The 22,040-nt window shown below is 39.0% G+C and overlaps 2 long non-coding RNA genes across 2 annotated transcripts in view; one reads left to right on the forward strand and one right to left on the reverse strand.

Moving 5' to 3' along the window:
- LOC105374690 (uncharacterized) overlaps nucleotides 1–22,040 on the forward strand; it is a 231,734-nt gene that overhangs the window by 124,577 nt on the left and 85,117 nt on the right. The window contains exon 4 of the long non-coding RNA XR_940109.3: nucleotides 11,969–12,045. This is a non-coding gene — a long non-coding RNA (uncharacterized LOC105374690). The remainder of the gene's footprint in view (nucleotides 1–11,968; nucleotides 12,046–22,040) is intronic.
- On the reverse strand, nucleotides 4,254–19,982 carry LINC01813 (long intergenic non-protein coding RNA 1813). The gene is made up of 2 exons (NR_135590.1): nucleotides 19,910–19,982; nucleotides 4,254–7,655 (listed from the first exon to the last, which is right to left on the reverse strand). It is a non-coding gene; the product is annotated as a long intergenic non-protein coding RNA 1813 (long non-coding RNA).

A 22,040-nucleotide genomic window follows, 5' to 3' on the forward strand; every position in this document is an offset into this window, starting at 1 on the left:
TTCCTGCCCCTTTTGTGAACTGCTCCAAGAGGGTATAGCCCCTAGAAGTGTTTGAATGCCTGTTTAAAACCACCTCTTTGTTTCATGATCAAGGGAGACTCACATATGCATAGTCCCTTCTGTTGTCAGAGCTACTAGGTTTAGGATGGAGCCCTTTGGGAGATAGCTTTAAAAATTAGCTTTCAATATGTATCCTAAACCCCTTCTGGGGAGAAACAGGGAGTTTTATTATGTCTTAAGCCCCTTCTCTGCAAGGAGATGAAATCCCTGGAGATGCTTGCATACCCATTTAAAAACACAACTCTTTTCCTGTTGTTTAGAGCTACGTGTATATGCCAGTCTCTTCTGCTCCCAGAGCTAGGAGACTAAGGATGCAATCCCTTAGGTAGATGTTATAAGAGTTAGGGATGCTAGGCCAGGCACAGTGGCTCACGCCTATAATCCCCGCACTTTGGGAGGGTGAGGCTGGCAGATTGCATGAGTCCAGGAGTTTGAGACTCGCCTGGGCAACAAGGCGAAACCCCGTCTCTACAAAATATAGAAAAATTAGCCAGGTGTGATGGCAGGCACCTATTGTCCCAGCTACTTGGGGGGTTGAGGCAGGAGGATCTCTTGAGTCTGGGAGGCAGAAGTTGCAGTGAGCTGAGATTGCACCACTGCACTCTAGCCTGGGTGATGACCTGTCTCAAAAAAAAAAAAAAAAAAAAAAGTTAGGATACTTGGTGTGAATGCAGACTTATCCTAGGCTGGTGGTGGTTTAATAATTGACTGTCCCTTTAACTGCCCAATGTAAGCTAGTTAGAAACAGGGCCAACAGGTGGCTGCTGGAGGGATGTTTGAAGTCCCCGGAATTGGTGTGCACTTGCCTCTTTTTTTTTTTTTTTTTTAAGTCTAGAGGGATGTGTGTGTATAATCCACTCATCTCCCATAGTTGGCAAATTAAGAGTCAAACCATGGGAAAACTTACTGTTAGAGCCCTATTTTGGGGGTCCAGATCCTCCTCTCCACAGGGAGAGACTGGGTGTGGGGGATTCCTTTCCAAATTTTATGGTGCAGTGCCTGGGATGGGGTCCATGCCTGAGTGTGCCTCAGCTTCAGTGTAGATGTTTTCTCAGCTGTCAGTGGGTAGGAGCCTCTCTGTTGGTCTTGGACCTTCTCTTTCTTTCTTTCTTTTTTTTTTTTTTTTCGAGATGGAGTCTCAGTCTGTCACCCAGACTGGAGTACAGTTGCGCCATCCTGGCTCACTGAAACCTCTGCCTCCCAGGGTCAAACAATCCTCCTGCCTCAGCCTCCCAAGTAGCTGGGATTACAGGCGTGTGCCACAATGCCCGGCTAATATTTGTATTTTTAGTAGAGACGGGGTTTTACCATGCTGGCCAGGCTGGTTTCAAACTCCTAACCTTGTGATCCGCCTGCCTCAGCCTCCCAAAGTACTAGGATTATAGGTGTGAGCCACTGCGCCCAGCCAGACCTTTTGTTAAAGGGAATTGGTCTGTGGTAGATGTTTATTTGGTGCATCCATGGGCAGAGGGAGAGTCAGGAGCTTCCTTTTCTATCATATTTCTGTTGCCACTCTGTCACCTGCATTTTAAAGATGAGAAAATAGCTCAGAAAAGCTTAATTTACCCAACTAGTGAGTTGAGGTTGGGATTCGAAACTGATCTGCTGGGCTCTGAAGTCCATGATTTTTTCAGTATGCCACAAACTTATTTTTTTTTTTTTGGTAAAATGCTTTTTTAGTATAAGGACAATTTGAAATATCTGAAATACAGAAATAATTCCTTAAACTTTCAACATTTATTCAGCAAAACATTCATTGAGAACCTACTCTTGCTCATGTCCTGTGCTAGCTGCTTTATGAAGCAACATTCATATGACTGACTATCTCCCTAAAATCAGCTTCAACTATGTCTGGAAGGACAGAGGCATAAACAGCCAAGGAAGACTGGGCTGAGAGACACAGAGGAGAAGGAGTTGGGTTGGGGTAATGGCAGTTGAGGAAGGCTGACTTTCATTCGTGCCATGAGGGATGAGGAGCAGCCACTGAACAGAGAAAGCCTGGAAGGACATCTGGTCAACATGGCCACAAGAACGGTGGAGTGAGTGTTGGTGGGGTCTTCAGGGAAGTGTCTGTCATTAACTGAGTCTAGAGTCCAGCCATAAGTGTAGAGGGGAGTAATGGGATTGAAAGTTGCAACATGTCACAAAAAATGACCTGAGAACTCAACCTAAATTGTATATTTGGCACTTAGTTTTCACACTTTTGACTTTTCTTCCTCTGGCCTCTTACTTTATTTCTTTTCTGATTATCAGAGTTCTGCATGTTTGTGGTAAAAACTTTGGAAAGTACAAATGAATGCAATGCATCAGATTAACAAAAGTTACTCTTGTCTAGTATGGCTAGGATATCCATACCTCTCTCCCTCCACATATCAGAGAGAATTTTGACCATAAGACTTTACAGTAGGCTTTTCTTTCTTAACTTCTTATGATGAAGCTCCATGTGGACTTCATTATATTCCATGAAATGTGTAGTGTCTTTGCTCTCTGCTCCTCCTACATCCGTTCACTGAAGATGCTTTGCACCCAGACCTGCTGAGAAGCAGGTAGGCCTTACCAGTTCTATGTCCATAGGACAACCCCTTCCCCAGTGGTCACACCTAACTGAACCATATGTAAACACCTGACCCAAGTTGGGCCTATTATATTGTCTTCCCAGAAGTTTGGGACTAAGGCCCTGAAGAACTGTGTCAATAAGATGGTGCTGGGTTCTGGAGCCAGGTTTGGCACTAAAGCCAGTCAAAGCCACATGCAAACTAAAGTTGTAGAAGAGGATCAGGCATGGTTTTCTTTCCCTCCTCAGGAGAAAGAAAGAAGGAAGTGTGCTCAGGGCCAGAGAAAAGAGACCATGTGGACCAGTGAGGAATGGAGATGGAGACAGTAGCTGCCTAACCATTTTCCTGTTCTCATGAGATACAGCTATACTTCCTATACTTTGTCTCAGTCAGATTCTCCATAAGTTTTTCACAGGGAAATAATTTGAATAGATGCCTGCTCTTGGTAATCAAAACATTTCTTACTAGAGCAGTTTACTTAAATGGTTTTTTTTCCTTTAGTTTTTTCTTCCAATTTTTGCTTTGGTGTTTTTAAAATACACATATGTTTAAATTTTTTTGGTAGTTATAGCTCAAGTGTTTTTAAAATATACATATGTTTAAAATTTTTTGGTAGTTATAGCTCAGATCTTTTCTTTGTCATTACTTCCATTGCATTTAAACTTAAATATTTATCTAGTCAGAGAGCTTTAAAATTTTATATCTTTTTTGTAGGCTTCAAAAAAGATATAACATTTTACATTTAAATGTATAATACACACGCTCTAATCCATAGAATCCATGGATTCTAATCCACCTAAAAATTATTTTGACATATGTGTGAGATGAGGATCTAATTGAACTTTTTAAATAAAATGTAAATAGCTAATTAGCTGGCCCAGAATCATGCTTCATTTTCCCACTGATTCATGATCTCTCCTTGATTATATGTTAACTTTATATACACATGTTTCATATGGGTTCGTTACTGAGCTGTCTATTCTGTTTACTCAATTATTTAAAAAGAAAATGTTAAAGAAAATATTTCTAGTCTATGTATAATTATGACTCCTAGAGATATTGACTGGATTTAGAGAAGGATGGTGCTAAGTTAGAGAACTCTGGTTACCAAGTCATTTGATTCCTTTGATTTTTCCCTCCAGAACTCCAAATGACACGTTATTGTTTGTATTGGAATATATCCATCTTCTTCCTGGGGCAGCTTGAGTAGTCCTGACAAGTTTGCTAATTTTGGTAATTTCTTGAGTCTAAGGAGAGTTTTTATATTATAGAATTTCAACTTGTAAGACTGCTTTAATTTAAAAAATACAAAACTACTGAGAGTTTTAAAATGTGCTAGATTTGAGCACCTGACAAGGATAATAAGCACATACTGTCATTCTCTCTTTTTGCTTCCATAGTAAAGATTGTTAATTGATTAGGGTCTTCCTTACAACTATACGTGGACAACATCAGACTCCTTCTTAACATAGTGGTCCAAACAACCAGCTCTATTAGTGAAGCTCTAATATCAGCTTAATACCAGTTGGTATTGCCTGATAAGATGTAACCTATTTGCAGATTAATTCTAGCAAGCGATATAAATCCCAAGGTTAGAGGTAAAATAGTATAGCTTATATTATAGAAGTGGCTAGTATAGATTTAAGGCATTGTTTTAATTTTTTTTACTGCACCCCTTAATAATTAATACATTTTACATTTTCACATTTAGCTATATAAAGAAGAGTACAACTGGATAAAAGTTTGATGTGTTTTAGGGAATATATACTTTATGTTAATTCTGTAATGTTGGAATCAAAATAGGTTACCTTTAAAATAATTCTAATTTTTCAGAAATAAAACACTCTTATATTTACTCTTCTTAGTGATTGGTGTAATTAGATGGAATGATTTTTGTCCCAATCTCTTTGTGGTTTATATGAGGAAAAAAATCCATATTTTTATTTTCCTGAACTTAAGTACCCCATCAAGGCTTAGAATAAACCTCAGTAGAAATTTGCCAATATGTAGAAAAAAGTTTGTGGCATCATCAATTTTCAGGCCAGGCAATATTCATTAAGTTTGTAGTAGATTTTTAGGTTCGAGGATGATCATCTCCCTTATGCCTAATCATTATTTACTTAAGAAAACAACTGTGGGCTGGACTCTAATATTTGCAAGCTGTGTGACCTTACCCAAGGTACTTGAACTTCCTAGTTTGAAACCCTATGACAGCTTTGTATTACTTCAAAATTTATGCTCTTTTTTTTCTTACTATGGCAAACTTCAGCATCTTTTTCCTTTAAGCAGTTTTGATCATTTCAGCTGCAGTTTTCATTTTATTCATCTGTCAGTATTATGTGCTAAAGCAAGTAAGGTGACATGGTATGAAAACATGTTAAAGCAAGCAAAGTGAAGTGATCCTGGGGATATGTTGAACCAAGTAAGGTCAAGTGAAGCTAGGGGTGTGCTTGGAGGCTGGACGAAGACAGAGAGTGAAGGAAAAAATGGCAGCTTCATATCTCTGGAAGTGGAATGCATAGCATTATATTTTATCCTGTGGTTCTTCAGCATTTGGCTTTGCTATATAATTAGGCAGAGGGGATATTTATGGGATTTAATAACTGTTGTTTCCATCCTTGTCATTAGGATCCAGAAGTTTCTTAGATTATGAGTGCTCCAGAAGTGAAATTAATACCCTCTGCTAGAGCTGAAAGTTGAAAGTTCCTATTGTCAAGATTTCAGTTCTGTCAGCTTTTTCTTTTTTGATCATTAAAAGTGAGGCATTCTCGGACTTGAACAGCACACCTCATGAAGGAGATCTATGAGGGATTTATGATGCTTGGTTGTAAGAGAAGATGACATCCACAGAAAACTGGTAATCTTGGAAGGACAGGCAAGTAGGTAGTTGGAAATAGTTCAGAAACGTTTGCTTCTACAGTTCTGAAGGCAATATATGTCAGACTTGGAGAGCTCTAGAGAGGGGCCACTCACCTTAGAGTTGAAGACCATGGAAATTTAACCTGCTGTCAAGCTTTGATCATTACATACAGTCACTGCCTCATCGGTTGAGGATTAGAAAATCAAAAAGGTTCAAAACTTGGGATGTTATAATGTCAGCATGCTAATCAGAATTTCAGAAGTACATGCTCATGGAAATAAAATTTCAATAAAAAATAAGGGTGCCAGATGAAAAGTGTGTCTAGTTCCACTATCCATAGCCTGGTTCTCAAGAGGCTGCCACCCATGATGTTTTCTGTCTTTAGCTCTTCCAGGGATTATCACTATAACTCGAAGTATCTGTTTCATACAACATTAATATCTATTTCTTATCTTACCAACTTAAGCTTGTCTTTTAACTCTTTGCTGTAAAAGATTACTATTTCAGCTCATAGCAACTACTCTGCTTCGTTTTTCCCTGTATCTGCTCCCATTTTTTCTTTTTGTTCTTCTATTGTTTATACTTTAAATAATATTTTTGACTTTTATTTCTTGTTCTGTCAACTTCAGACATATCATGGTGTATGATATGGAGTCGGTCACTCCTACACGCTCTCCCATCTCTCCTTCCCACCTCTAACTCCTACTGTTCATCATTTCTACCACTACTTTTATATTGCCAAGGTTTAAAACATTTACATTCTGAATGGAAATTTTAATTAAGTATTCATCGCTTTGTCTATACATTGATTCAGAGAAGCAAAAATAGATAAACATCATTTATAATATTATGATATTGTTCAATATTATTCACTGCAGAACCAGAGTGCAGCTGTAGAGGAGATATAATTTATATTCTTAAATCAGATCTACTTAAAGTAGAATATTTCAAGTTCTAAGTCAAGATTTTCTTTTCTTAGACTCCATAAATTTCCTATAATAATGCTTCATATTTTCGTCATGAATTTTTGTACAGCATTTTCCTTTTCCTGGAATTTCTAGTTTCCCTTAATTTTTCTTATTGAAGTCGGAAACATAAACGTTCTTCATTATGCACCACCCAAAAGCCAGCCAACAGATTCTTTAGCCAGATGCATTATTAGTGTCTGCTCTCTTTCAGGTTCCCAATGCCAGGGGTCTCTTCATAGAGTAACAGATTCCACCTTCACTGCAGCTTCTCTTGCGGCTTCTCTTGTACTCTGAATAGTTATTTTTCTCTGTTCTATTTTATCTGTTAGTGTAATCCCATATGCCATGCATTTTTAAGAGAATTTCCTAATTATTTCACCTATTCATATCCTATCCTTTTGCATATCTTTACTATCATTTCAATGGGTTTAAGAGAGGGAAGTACAAATATTTGCTAGGTTCAATATGTTTAATCAGAGCCCTCAGAATTATTGGTTTACTATAGTCAGAAATTGGTATCCAAGAGGAAAACGTGCATCTAAAATTTACAGACTATGCCCCAGATCTTAACTTAGAGAGGAAGCATTTATGCTTATTGCATGAAAGTCCTGTTTTAAATTTGGAGTATCTTTTTCACGTATTTTATCTTGTAACCTACTTCGAATTAAGACGCCACCTGAAATTCATAGCACTGCAAAAATTGCTGATGTTGCATCATCTGTCCTCATACAGGTTTCATTATCTTAAGCACTTGGAATGAGACCTCACTTCATCATCGAAGGAGATTCAATGTCTATAACTCCATAGATGTCAAAGGACAAAGTACAGCTTCTGATAGGGTCTTAAATGCAAAAGGTGAATTTGCTGGATTCAGCAACCACCAGGTGGGGCCAAGGAGTTTCGCCTTTGTCAAATAGGAGCTTTTACTGGAAAAGCAGTATGTGTTGCTGCTGAGCAATTTCTAGAAGGAGTTTCAAACTTGTTGAGGTAGTTGTTTCCTCTAACATCATGTATCAAAATTGTCTTCTAAAAGAGACAATGTGGGAAGCATTTTCTAAAGTTAGGCTCCAGAAGGAGATGTAGTTGACTAAAATGATGCCTTGGGTGGTCAGGAGGCAAAGTTTGCATGTGGAGCCACTGGATTAGGAATATTCTTCATATTGTTCTTGAAAGAACTTTTCCATTTATGAATTCTGAAAATGGTTTGTGGTTCTGGAAAGAAATAGAAAGAATTGTTTATGAACTGTGGGCCCTGATAATTTTAGAGGATAATGGCACCAGAGGTGAAAGGAGGCTTTCTGATATCTGCCTGTCTTGCGGCTGGCCAGGTACAGAAGAACAAGTCTCTCTACAGATAGTGATGTTGTCCATGCCCTTGAAGATCTCAGAATCTTAACATTTATTAAATACTTAATTTGGGCTTACCCCAAACTGGGTGAAGAGATCACAAAACCAAAGAGATATAGTCCATGCCCTGAGGAGTGTTTGGTGCATGGGTGAGTGAGATAATAAGAGGACTGAGTATGGATAGTATCAAGAGACTCTTTATAATAGGTAAAATCCCAGAGGAAAGTGAGATGTGAATATAGAAAAATTCCAGATCAAAGGAACATCTCACAAGCACCTGAATTCTGACCAGATGTGAAACATGGCTGTTAAAATCTCCAATTTGTGGAGAAATGATCCCCCACATCATACCCAGTAGAAGCTTGTTTGAATCAGTGTACTATTCACCATTGTTAAATGGTGCCAAGGGTGTCACTTCTTTTTAGGAGTGAACTTTTACTTTAAGTTCAATATAAAGTGCTCAATGAATTTTTACAAAGTGAGTACACTCTGTACTTGACATTCAAATCTGGAAACTAATCATTTCCAACTCCCCCTTCTAGCCCTACTCATCACTCCTCCAAGTGAAAAAAATCCCGATTTTTTTTTTTTTTTTTTGAGAAGGTATATCGCTCTGTCTCCCAGGCTGGAGTTCAGTGGCCTCGGCTCACTGCAAGCTCTGCCTCCTGGGTTCATGACATTCTCCTGCCTCAGCCTCCCAAGTAGCTGGGACTGCAGGCACCCGCCACCACGCCTGGCTAATTTTTTGTATTTTTATTAGAGACAGGGTTTCACCGTGTTAGCTAGGATGTCTTGATCTCCTGACCTCGTGATCCGCCCGCCGCAGTGTCCCAAAGTGCTGGGATTACAGGTTGTGAGCCGCCGTGCCCAGCCAAAATAATTTTTTTAAACCTTTTTCTTTGTTAAGGATAGAGCTGTGGTCTATTTGTCCCTTCACTTTAAAAGAAAGAACATTTTGATCTGGAATTGAAACATTGATTTCTTAAGCCGTAGTTGATTCCTGGTATACAATTCCCATTTGTGTTTAAAATCTGGACTGGCAACAAGGTTAGTAATGATTTTGTTTATAGTGGCACTGTAAGAGGAACAGAGAGGGATGTTCTTAAAGAAAAGGGCATGCCAGTTGTTATCAGGATACCTCTATGCAAATAAACTAGAAAATCTAGAAGACAAGGATAAATTCCTGGATGATACAGCCTACCAAGACTAAATCAGGAAGAAGTTGAATCCCTGATTAAACCAATAACAAGCTCTGAAATTGAGGCAGTAATTAATAGCCTACCAACCAAAAAAAGCGTAGGATTAGATGGATTCACAGCTGAATTCTACCAGAAGTACAAAGAGGAGCTGGTACCATTCCTTCTGAAAATATTCCAAACAACCAAAAAGGAGGGACTCCTCCCTAACTCATTTTATGAAGCCAACATCACCCTGATACCAAAACTGGGAAGAGACAAAAAAAGACAACTTCAGGCCAATATCCCTGATTAATTGATGCGAAAATTCTCAGTAAAATACTGGAAAACTGAATCCAGCAGCACATCAAAAAACTTATCTACCGCGATCAAGTCAGCTTCATCCCTGGGATACAAGGCTGGTTCAACATACACAAATCAATAAATGTAATTCATCCCATAAACAGAACCAAAGACAAAAACCCCATGATGATCTCAATAGATGCAGAAAAGGCCTTTGACAAAATTCAACATCCCTTCATGTTAAAAGCACTCAATAAACTAGGTATTGTTGGAACATATCTCAAAATAATAAGAGCTATTTATGACAAACCCACAGTCAATATCATATTGAAAGGGCAAAAGCTGGAAGCATTCCCTTTGAAAGTTGGTACAAGACAAGGATGCCCTCTCTCACCACTCTTATTCAACACAGTATTGGAAGTTCTGGCCAGGGCAATCAGGCAAGAGAAAGCAATAAAGGGTATTCAAATAGGAAGAGAGGAAGTCAAGTTATCTCTGTTTGCAGGTGACATGACTGTATATATAGAAAACCCAATCATCTCAGCCCCAAAACCTCTTGAACTGATAAACAACTTCAGCAAAGTCTCAGGATACAAAATCAATGTACAAAAATCACAAGCATTCATTTACACCAACAACTGGCAAGCAGGGAGTCAAATCATGATGGAACTCCCATTCACAATCACTACAAAGTAAATAAAATACCTAGGAATACAGCTAACAAGGGATGTGAAGGACCTATTCAAGGAGAACTACACACCACTGCTCAATGAAATAAGAGAGGACACAAACAAATGGAAAAACAATCCACCCTCATGGATAGGAAGAATCAATATCATGAAAATGGCCATACTGCCCAAAGTAATTTATAGATTCAATGCTATTCCCATCAAATTACCATTGACGTTCTTCACAGAATTAGAAAAAACTATTTTAAATTTCATACGGAACCAAAAAAGAGCACGTATAGCCAAGACAATACTAAGCAAAAAGAACAAAGTTGGAGGCATCACACTACCTGACTTCAAACTATACTACGAGTTTACAGTAACCAAAACAGCATGGTACTTGTACCAAAACAGACATATAGACCAATGGAGCAGAACAGAGATGTCAGAAATAACACCACACATTTACAACCATCTGATCTTCGACAAACCTGACAAAAGCAAGCAATGGGGAAAGGATCTCCTATTCAGTAAATGGTGCTGGGAAGACTGGCTAGCCATATGCAGAAAACTGAAACTGGGCCCCTTCCTCACACCTTATTCAAAAATTAACTCAAGATGGATTAAAGACTTAAATGTAAAACCCCAACCATAAGAACCCTATAAGAAAACGTAGGTGATATTATTCAGAACATAGGCATGGGCAAAGACTTCATGACAAAAATGCCAAAAGCAATTGCAACAAAAGCCACGATTGACAAATGAGATCTAATTAAACTAAAGGGCTTCTGCACAGCAAAAGAAACTATCATCAGAGTGAACAGGCAATCTACAAAATGGGAGAAAATTTTTGTAATCTACTCATCTGTCAAAGGTCTAATATCCAGAATTTACAAGGAACCTAAACATATTTACAAGAAAAAAGAAAACAGCCCCATCAAAAATTGGGCCAAAGATATAAACAGGCACTTCTCAAAAGAAGACATTTAATTGGCCGACAAACATATGAAGAAAAGCTCAACATTACTGATCATCAGAGAAATGCAAATCAAAACCACAATGAGATACCATCTCACACCAGTCAGAATGGTGATTTTTAAAGTCAGGAAACAATAGATGCTGGCAAGGCTGTGGAGAAACAAGAATGCTTTTACACTGTTGGTGGGAATGTAAATTAGCTCAGCTATTGTGGAAAATAGTATGGTGATTCCTAGAACCGAAAATACCACTTGACCCAGCAATCCCATTACTGGGTATATACCCAAAGGAATATAAATCATTCTATTATAAAGACACCTGCACGTGTATGTTTATTGCAGCACTATTTACAATAGCAAAGACATGGAGCCAACCCAAATGCCTGTCAATGACAGAATGGAGGAAGAAAATGTGGTACATATACACCATGGAATACTATGCAGCCATAAAAAGGAATGAGATCATTTCCTTTGCAGGGATATTGATGAAGGTGGAAGCCATCATCCTCAGCAAACTAATACAGGAACAGAAAACCAAACAATGCATGATCTCACTCATAAGTGGGAGTTGAACGTTGAGAACACATGGACACAGATTGGGGGACAACACACACCGGGGCCTGTTGGGGGTGGGGGGTGAGGGGAGGGAACTTAGAGGATGGGTCAATAGGTGCAGTAAACCACCATGGCACATGTATGCCTATGTAACAAACCTGCACGTTCTGTACATGTATCCCTTTTTTTTTTAAAGAATAAGTAAAGAAAATAAATAAATAAAGTTTTACAAAGCGAAATATTAAATATATCTGTTTCTTATTTTCATATAATTACCCAGGAAACACTTACTCACTACCTACCGTTTTTCAGGGCTCGATATTGTGGGGAATATAAAAGTGAATCAGACATATACCATCCCTCTTTAAGTAGAAGAGTCAGAAATATCTGGCTCTGTAAGTAATTGTAAAATATAAAAGAGAAAGTAATAAGTTTCATAAGAGAGATGCAAGCAGATGAGAGTTTTCCATGTAATCCGAATCTTTTTTTCTTTTTTACAGGAAGTATGGTGTTGATGAGCTTGAGTGAGAAAAAAAATGGATTTGGGTTAGAAGACTTGGGATCTTGCACTTACCAGGTACGTGGCTTGAGGAGGCTACTTTACCTTTTCTACCCAGCTCTACCCTGTCTAACATGAGGACAGTAGTAGGTTTCCTACTTATGGAACATAGTTTTTGGGAAGCATATAACAGATAATAGACATAGTTTTATATAAGTAACTTATTCAAAATAGGTATTATTTCTTCCAGGGAATAGTCAAACATTTTGTTCTCTAGAACAAGGAATTAATTTATCTTCTTCTAACTTTAATAAGGTGCACCATGAGCCAGTCCTAGGAATAGCAACATGGATTCAATTTAAATTGCTAATAGGCGATACTCATGAGGTAGCAAAGAGCCTCTTTCTGACACATCCATCAAATCTCATTCTCTTACCAGCCTGGTGAGAGCCAGTTATTTTGACGTTGATGCTGACTGCTTTTGAAAGCACATGCTGTGCAGCACTTTGCCCAGGGTTTAGCTTTCCCACAGACCTGACATTTGTATGTTGTTTTGCTTTCCTTGATCTTCTCCCCTTCTTCCCTAGCGTCTACTGTTAGCTGAATGTAGCTAATACTGCAGATTGTAAATGGGCTAAAGTGGAAGAAAGAGTGTCTGACACAATGGTTCTGAGCCCTGCAAGCACGTTAGGATCATCTCAGGAGCTTTAGAGATACACTGATGGCCCGGCTCTGAGGCCTCATTCCCAGAGGAACTGCATCAAGAGACATAGGGTGGGACCCATGAATTTACTTTTAATACTTTTAACTAATCCTGATTAATTCTGAAGCAGATGATCTGGGCACCACACTTGGAGAAACTAGCTAGTATCAATATGATAGTAGCCATCTGGTGACTTCTTTGTTACATGGATGACAGGGGCCATCAGAGAGAGGTGTTTCTCAATCCTTGGAAACTTATTTATTCACAGTTTCTCAAACACCTCATGTTTGAGGCACTGCACTGGGGGCTGCAAGGGATATGATAGGTGAATCAAACATGAACGTGATACTGACTAAGAATAGGGCTGAATGTAAAACTATAATTCATACCGTATATAAAGGTTTACTTCTGAAGTTGGTGTATGTGGTAAAAATCATAACTAGTCAAAATTACCTTTGGAAAATGGCAGAGGAGGGTAGTATTTTGGAGAGCAATATGCTGCCTTCCAAACACCCAGCACTGGCTGTTTTCCTCTAACTTTGGGACTGAATCCTGACTCTGTTTGAGTCTCAAATGTGGCTGGCTTACATTTAGGGGTAATGCCTGAAGAAGGTATGTCTTTAAATACTGGAATCATATTTGGTTCCCAGGACATGGCAGATTCATGGCTCCCAACTCAAGTTCACTGAGGCATGCGATCTGTGAGTGGGACAGAGTTGAGGGTGGTTTGGGGGTAGGTCAGGGGGAGTCACCTGCACTATTTAAATAGGGTTCCCTTCTTGCTCATGCTGTCACTCTCTTCGTTGTTTATCTAAGTTTTCTCAAGGTAAATGGATTTCTAATAATACAAGACTCTCTTCTAATAATACAAGATGATAAGATTTGAAGACAGACACAGGCAGCCCCAATTGTTTAAAATAATTCTAAAAATTATCAAGGAGAGAACATTTACCAGATTTTAATAATTTATATTTTTTGAAGAATAACGTAAAATCTACGATTAAGATTGTTCTGGGAGACTGAAGAAGCAAAAAGATATGGCAAAAGATTTATAAAATATAAATAAAAAGTAAGACATTAATCTACAGATGAAAGATTAATGCATTTCTCTTTGAGGGCTCTGAAATGAAAACCAAAAATAGAACAGTCATGTTTCACCACAGCGTTATGAACACACTGCAGAGTCACATCCTTGAGACCATCCAGTCACATGCAGGCAGGGAATTTGCTGGGCAGAGCACGTTCAAGTCCCCATGACAACCAAGACATGGAAGCCACAGGCGGGGCCTCTAAACATGAAAAGTGTCATTGTTGTTTTGTATTCCTTGTACTTTCTGGAGCCCTTAAACACAGATACAAACAACATCCATCCAAACAGACCAGTCCTCCTAGGAACATTTGGCAAAGCTCAGTAGGTCTTTCTTGGATACTGACTTCATAGATGGTAACACTGATTCACCATGGCCTATGTGCTTGTGTGCTTCCACCTGAGACTAGGAGCTTTCAAAAAAACAAATAAACAAACAGAAACAAAGAAAAACAAAACAAAAACAGAGTCTTGACTTCAAGAGAAGGGAAGAGACTTATTTTCCTACTTTCCTTGTTGGCTTACTTTGGGGCTTCAATCACTTTATGTTAACTTTTGGTGACTCATACACTGGCCGCTCCTAACATTTCAGCAGCTGGGATGAGAGGACAAACAGAGGCCCACAAACCATATGTCTATACACATAAAGGTTCTAAATCAAGCTACCGATTTCAATAAAACATGTTCTGACTTTCCTCTTTGACAGATATACATTCCTAATGAAGAAATAAAAATAATGTGGGTGAAGCTATGGTTTTTATATAATAGAAAGTTGGAAAAACACTAAAGATGACTAAGTTTAATTATTATTTTTCATGCCTTGGTATTCTGTAGATAAGCCATTATTGTTTGCGTGAGTAATAAAAAACATGCATAGTTAGGCCGGGCACGGTGGCTCACGCCTGTAATCTCAGCACTTTGGGAGGTCGAGGTGGGTGGATCACCAGGTCAGGAGATCGAGACCATCCTGGCTAGCACGCTGAAACCCCGTCTCTACTAAAAATACAAAAAATTAGCTGGGCGTTGTGGCAGGCGTCTGTAGTCCCAGCTACGCGGGAGGCTGAGGCAGGAGAATAGCTTGAACCCGGGAGGTGGAGCTTGCAGTGAGCCGAGATCGCGCACTGCACTCCAGCCTGGGCGACAGAGCGAGAGTCCCTCCCAAAAAAAACAACAAAAACAAAAAACATGCATAGTTAATAAATTATTATGCATTATTCCATAAGATCTATTTTTTCTCTTTAGCAAAATCATTAATTTTGTTGTTATACTTAATATTTTTTATAATTTAATTGTTTATAGAAATGAGCTAAAGGATTAAAAATAAAATGTATCTGTATGCAAACTACACAATTTGATTATATTTTGTTAAAAAATAGAGTACATATAAATATGAAAAAATTATATACTATATGTCTTAAAAGTTATATTTCTCCTAAAATATCAAAGCATTATTAAAAATAATAGGCAAAATACAAATACAATAGGCATAATAAAATAATTGTTATGCTCATAAAATTTCTAGGTAAAACTGAAATTCGCCATTTATTTTGAAATTCTATTTTTATAAATATAAAAGTATTCACAGTTCTGACACTGAAAGTTCATCTGGTTGCCAATGTAAAAAACTTTTGTATTCTCCACGTATTTTATGTCTAGAGCTAAATAAAGATAAATTTAAGAGTAATATGAATTGTTTAACATTATGAAATATTCAACTTCCGAAACTGTTGTGAATATAGTACCAATTTGTGAGCACGTCTGGAATCACAGATTGGTACCTGCAGAGAAGCAATAACTCTTAGTTCTGTGAGAATCTATCACATTCATTCTATCCAGGAGGAAAAAGTTTGGTAAGGAAATTAATTTGTCTTTTCTCTTGCCTAAGTGCTTTTGCTACTCAACTTCTCCTCTGCTCTGTGGCAGTGTTTATCTTGACCTTTGCGGAGCTTCATAGCATTTGGACATGGTTTCTTTTTGTTTTGAGGACACAGGGCAAGATATCTGGAGATGCCTAAGCAGTGTTAGTCATGCACTGACAGTTTAGGGTTCTGGTCAGTTTAGGGTTCTGTGTGGCACCATGCTAGCACTGAGTGTCAGGTCCTGAGTGCTAGAGCGCTAGGGATACGTGTGTGTGTGTGTGTGTGTGCACGCGCGCGTGTGCGCATGTGTCCGTGTGTGTAGGCGGAGAGTATACTGGATCCTTTCAGGGACACAGATTCAGACCAGGATAAATTCAAAAATTCTATTCTGAAGCTCAGTCACTACCGAAGATCTGACCCAAGGGTAGTCTATCTCGAATGCAGGTTACAAATCTGAAACTGTCCTAAAAGGCCTCCTTATATCTCATTAGCTGAATTTCCATCACGTTTTCCCTTTCTTGCTCCTTGTACTAAGACAGCTTTTGTCCAGGGTTAATGCCCCGGAAAGAAAAAAGAACTAGAGCAACTGGTGGATCTTTCTGAATCCAGTTCAACGACCACTGCTCCCCCAAGTCCTTTCATAAGCCCCTGAAGAAATGGGACTTCAACAAGCTGAATCTGGATCACGGACTAGTAACCAGGCATGGGCAAAGGAGTAAGGAGCCTTGGATTTCATCATTTTTTCTGCCATTTATTAGCTGTATGACCTTGACTTACCTACTTGGGACTTCAGATTTCTTATCTGTGAAATTAGGGGATTTGTATAAGATTGTCAAGGTCACACACCTATTCTAAAATTATGTGGTTTTATTTTATAGAAAAACTGGGCAAAATATTTTCTAGGTTTTGCATATAATGATGAACTATGACAAGGATTTTGGGACTGTCTGGGGAGTACACAGCAGGTTGAACAGAGACTTCCAATGCTTATATAGTATACTGGCTCTGGCTAAGTGATATTTTGTTTATTGACTCATTAAGAACAAAGAAATTCTACTTGAAAATCATTTATTCACCACCTTCCACGTGCTAGGCTATTATTATGTGAGATGCTAAGGCTTCAGTGATGAGGAAGCCAGAGTAACTGCTCTCAGGAAGCTCAGGTAAGCATGCAAACTATTAATTTTAGTTGAATGTGGTAAGTAGTATTACTGACAGTTTTTCAAAGTGTGGGGGGAAGGTGCAAAGAACAAAGGGGTTCCTGGTGAAGAAAAGGGGGAAGAGAGTGTCAGGGAAGGTTCCCAGCTGAGAAGATTTTTGAGGGAAGTACTAGGAATATTTTAATCTTGAAGCTCCCTAGCAGTACAAGAACTATTTGGGCAGTAGCTTTATTTATTTATTTATTTTTTATTTTTTTATTTTTATTATACTTTATGTTTTAGGGTACATGTGCACAATGTGCAGGTTTGTTACATATGTATACAGGTGCCATGTTGGTGTGCTGGACCCATTAACTTGTCATTTAACATTAGGTATATCTCCTAATGCTATCCCTCCCCACTCCCCCCACCCCACAACAGGCCCTGGTGTGTGATGTTCCCCTTCCTGTGTCCATGTGTTCTCATTGTTCAATTCTCGCCTGTGAGTGAGAACATGCAGTGTTTGGTATTTTTGTCCTTGCAGCTTTTGATGACTCTACTCTTCAGCAAACCAATATGGCAACAGTGATTGGCCTTATGTGGAGGCTGAGCCAGCAAGCATTAGATTTTGCTGAGGGCCAGCTGCTTTTGATTCATGTATTTCTCTATGACAGTGGATGGTTCAGGTTTCAAATGGTGCATATTTTCCTGTAATGGGCCCAGGGGAGGACATACTGTTGAGCAGAGCTTTAGAGGTAGATTTATGGGCACAATGTTCAAGCCTTTAGATCACTTGTCTCTTTAGAAGTGGTGGGAATGGTTAGGGGTAGAGGAAGGAAGAGGCTCTTGGTATGCAAATGACTTCATAGTCAAAGTAAGGGCTCCCATTTCTACTTAGGAATCATTTCATCCAGGGAACATAGTACTGAGTATGCATATAGTGAGTTCTCCAGAAATATTTTACACATCAATAAATAGTTTCAGAATACTTAATATTTAATAGGTACTGTTGTAGGCATTTAATAAATATTTGTGGAATAAGTTAATTTATCATATTATCATATTGTTGGAATATTAATTCTAATGAGATTGATAATTCAGGATACTCATAAATGTAAGCCAAATGGGTAAGGGACTCTTTCCAAAATACGTCTTTTAATGGTTGGCCCCTCAGGCACCTGAAATGTTTGAATTTCCCAGTTCAGAGGCTTGAAGCTCATGAGGGCCAGACCATAAGAAGTTCCCCAAATCAAATGATTAGACCACCTGGGTCTCAGGCTGAAGTTCCTGTGCCTGAAATGGCATGACCATGCTGTTTCTTTTGGCTGACCCTGGCACCGACCTGAACAACTGGAATATTAAAAGGAAATTTTTGTTTCTGGAAGATTTGTGACTAGAAGAGTCACTGTGGTCTACACTGGGAGAGAGCTTAGCTAAGTCCAGTGATCAACATTCCATCCATCCGTGTCACTTGAGTGAACAAGTGCATCATTGGAATGTAAATGTACATTGGGCTATTTGGGGCTGTCGACCAGTCATCTCGATAATGTTAGCTGGAATCAGATCAATGCTTAGCTGAGGTAATTGAGACAGTGAAGTTTCAAATTGGGCAGGGAGGAGAAAACAGGGAAAAGAAGAGATAAATGCATAGGTTTTTGACATTAGTTACATTTTCTAAACAAACCAAAAACAATATGCTTATTCACACTGATAGATTTCATTTCCTTTTGATCTTTGGGAGTGATATTGAAATTTGGTTCAAATTTAGCTGCTAATCCTCAAGTACCATTGGTATTCAAATATATCATGATTTCTTTTCCAATCTCTCTTTATAAAGTCCAAAAATTATATGTTATCCCCAATTTCAACATGTTAAAACCTGCAAAGCCTGAGGCATAAAAAACAGCACTTGCAATTCCACTAACTTTGGTTTTTCCAGAAAGTGAAATTGTGATGCTTATTCAAAATAGCATAAATAAACTGGGCATGGTAGCATGTGCCTGTGGTCCCAGCTACTTGGGAGGCTGAAGTGTGAGGATTGCTTGAGCCTGGGAGGCCAAGGCTGCAGTGAGCTGTGATTGCCCTACTGCACTCCAGCCTGGGTGACCGAGTGAGATGTTGACTCAAAGAAAAATAGCAGAAATGAATGCAACCCGCATAGAACACAGAAGGGCATTTAAAAAACATACTAGCTAACTGATACAAACAAAACCTCAATAATAAATCCCTAGGGAAAATACAGAAAATAGTATTTCTTTTAGTTGTTATTTATTGCAATATCAAACTTTTATTGAGATGGGAACAGAGAGATGGAAACACAGAGAGACAGACTTATTTTTCTACCTCCTTGGATGTCTACTAGGCCTATAAAAGATACTTTTCACTCCCTAACAGGGGCCAATATTGGGAGGGAAACATCTGTCCTTCTCTCCTGGCTCCAAAGCTGACTGGTGGGATTGGGAAGAGGAGAGGAGCACTGAGACCTTCCTCTGTCTTATTTTCAGAACCACCTGAGCAAGCTATGTGTATGGTCTTCTTCTCTGCAGCGTGCAGTGAACTGTCCTGGATGGGGAATGGGATGAGGTGAGGCGGGAGCCTGTGGTTGTACAATTTTACCCCTAATTGGCCAATAACCTTAATTTGTAGGAAGGGGGCATTAGTTTCAAAATGTGGTCATAGATCTAGCCCAATTTTCCAGCCAGTCTTATGAACTGATACTGTGCTTTTCACTATTTGCCTCATGTCTTCTCTTAATGAATTCCAAATTCAGAGCAGATTTAAGGTGGTGAGCAGTTGTCACCCTAAATCTCTTTCAAGACACAGTGCTGCTGAGATTTCTCAAAGAAAGTGATTTTTTATTATTTCCTTTTATGATAGGGCTCTTTTTTTCCCCTGCTCTTTAGCTGGGTCCCTGAGTAAAGAGCAGAAGGGGTGTGAGAAGCTCATTATCTACTTTCCTCCTGTTCCACCACATCCTCACACATGATCCATTATTGCCACTTACATACAATCTGCCTTTCCGCCTCTATCCCCTCGCTTCCTTGATTTTGCATCACCGGGTACCCTGTGTTTATTTTTCACAGTCTTTACCCTTTTCTTAAATTCATTTCTTCCCTCTTAATCTTTACATATTTTCTGGCTTGCAAGATCTTACCTTAGCTAAGAGTGATATTTCTACCCCACCAAATGGGATCTATCAAACACTGCTTTGCAAGGTCTCCTGTATTGAATTGTCTTTTTGCATTGCAGTTGTTATTATTGTTGCATAACATCCTATTATTACATAACGAGGCCCAAAAATTCTATGGGGGAAATGTCTTAGATTTATACTTGTTTGTATGTCACAAAGAGCTTTGCAAATATTAGGTGCTTCATAAATATCAGCTCCTCATTTTACCTACTGGGCAGTCTTCGCAGTGTCATTTTAGTGTAGACATTTAAATGTGCTAGAGAAAGGTGGGAGCTCTGAAAAGTGATGACTCTATTTCAGCCAATAGTTTTAAAATGTGTAAACTCTTATTAGTTTCTGTCTCCATAAGTTGCTAATGGGGGTGACCAGAAAGGAGTAGTCTATTTTATTTTGGCTTAATAGAAACAAAAATGAACATTACCAAGTCTCTGCAGCACCACAGCCATCAAGCTAAGTGTGTTTTAGATATTTTCTCATTTAGTTATCAGAACTATAATATTGGTACTATCATTACCTTTGTTTCACCAGGGAAGCAGAGGCTCCAATATATTAACAGGTTTTAGGTATCAGAGCTGTGATTTGACCTTGAGGCTTCCTAACTCCAAACTTTTAGCCACAATGACACCTTGCCATAAAGCTTTTCCATAGCTATTCTCTATGGGGCTATTCAGGCATTCAGCAGGTGTTTGTGCTCTTCAGTTGTGATGAAAACCAGAGAAAGTATGTAGGGTGCTAGTATAAAGGTTGAGAATCCACTGGACCAGGGCTTAAATCTGATTCCCCTCATACAAATTCTGTCTGATTAGGAGTAGGTTCCTTAACCCTTCTTATCCTCAGTTCCATTATCTAAAATATTAGGATCATAATTCTGTTAAATGAGATATTGCTGACAAAACACTAAGCACAGCACCTGTACATGCTCAAGGAGTGTGAGCTGCCATTATTACAATTACATGCCGGCTTAACACTTCCACAGATGACATCAATGAAGGTAAATGAGGAAATTAGCCAATGGAGTCCTGTGTAAAAGGAATACTTGGAAAGACTGACAGAACTGCAGTCTCCATAGGAGGCGAGATATCTATAGCATATCAATATTTTCAAAACACATTATTCTTTTCTTTAGATATAAACGCAATAGCATGACACCTAACAGTTAGTCCCACAAAGCTGCAAGGACAATAAAGATGTATACATATGAACATGAAAGGATTGGGAATGAAGGACTCATGAGCAGGTTATGTGAGACACTCTCCCAACCCATGCACTATTTCGGGTCATCTGTAAGGGCTCTAGTAGAGCCCTCTGTGCTGCCTGCGGAGAACCCTGAGGCATTTGGACAGCATGCTGCCTATGGTGAAGGAGGTACAGGTCCCAAGTCAGGAGATAGAGGTTTCACTGCATTGGACTGGGAAATTGGAAATACTTGTTTAAAATCTTTTACTGTGTTTCTTCAGGTTCTCTGCTTTTTTGTTTTTTGATTTTTTTTTTTTTTTTTTTTTTTGCCAAATACATTTAGGGCTGTGATGGCTTTATATTTGAAAGGCTGGGGTATAAGAAAGAGTACTACCTTAGGGTGAGCAGACTGGCTTGGCATACTCACTCTCACTCCTTATTAGCATAAGGACCCTGAAGAAACCCCTTACGGGGCCGAGCCACTGCCATCTGCAAAGTGGAGACCATATCCATATGTATACTTCTTCCCATTAACTTCAAGGATTGCTACGAGGGCCAAGAAGGTAAAGATGTAAAGTACTAAGCTATGCAAATATTTTCCTGAAGAGCTGTCTGTCCTACCACTGCTCTGCGCCCTTGTCCCTCCCCAAATCCCTTTTTTTTTTTTTGCTTTCTAATGAACTCATAGAATGTACTGTCTTGCTCCACGTACTGTTTCCTCCAAACCTCCCCACCTAAATCTGTGAAAAGGAATAGGGGCTGGGCGTGGTGCCTCATGCCTGTAATTCCACCACTTTGGGAGGCCGAGGTGGGTGGATCACCTTAGGTTAGGAGTTCAAGACCAGCCTGACCAATATGGTGAAACCCCGTCTTTACTAAAAATACAAAAATTAGCCAGATGTGGTGGTATGTGCCTGTA

The sequence above is a fragment of the Homo sapiens genome, chromosome 2 (genome assembly GCF_000001405.40).
Source record: "Homo sapiens chromosome 2, GRCh38.p14 Primary Assembly".
In the NCBI taxonomy this organism is placed as follows: Eukaryota; Metazoa; Chordata; class Mammalia; order Primates; family Hominidae; genus Homo; species Homo sapiens.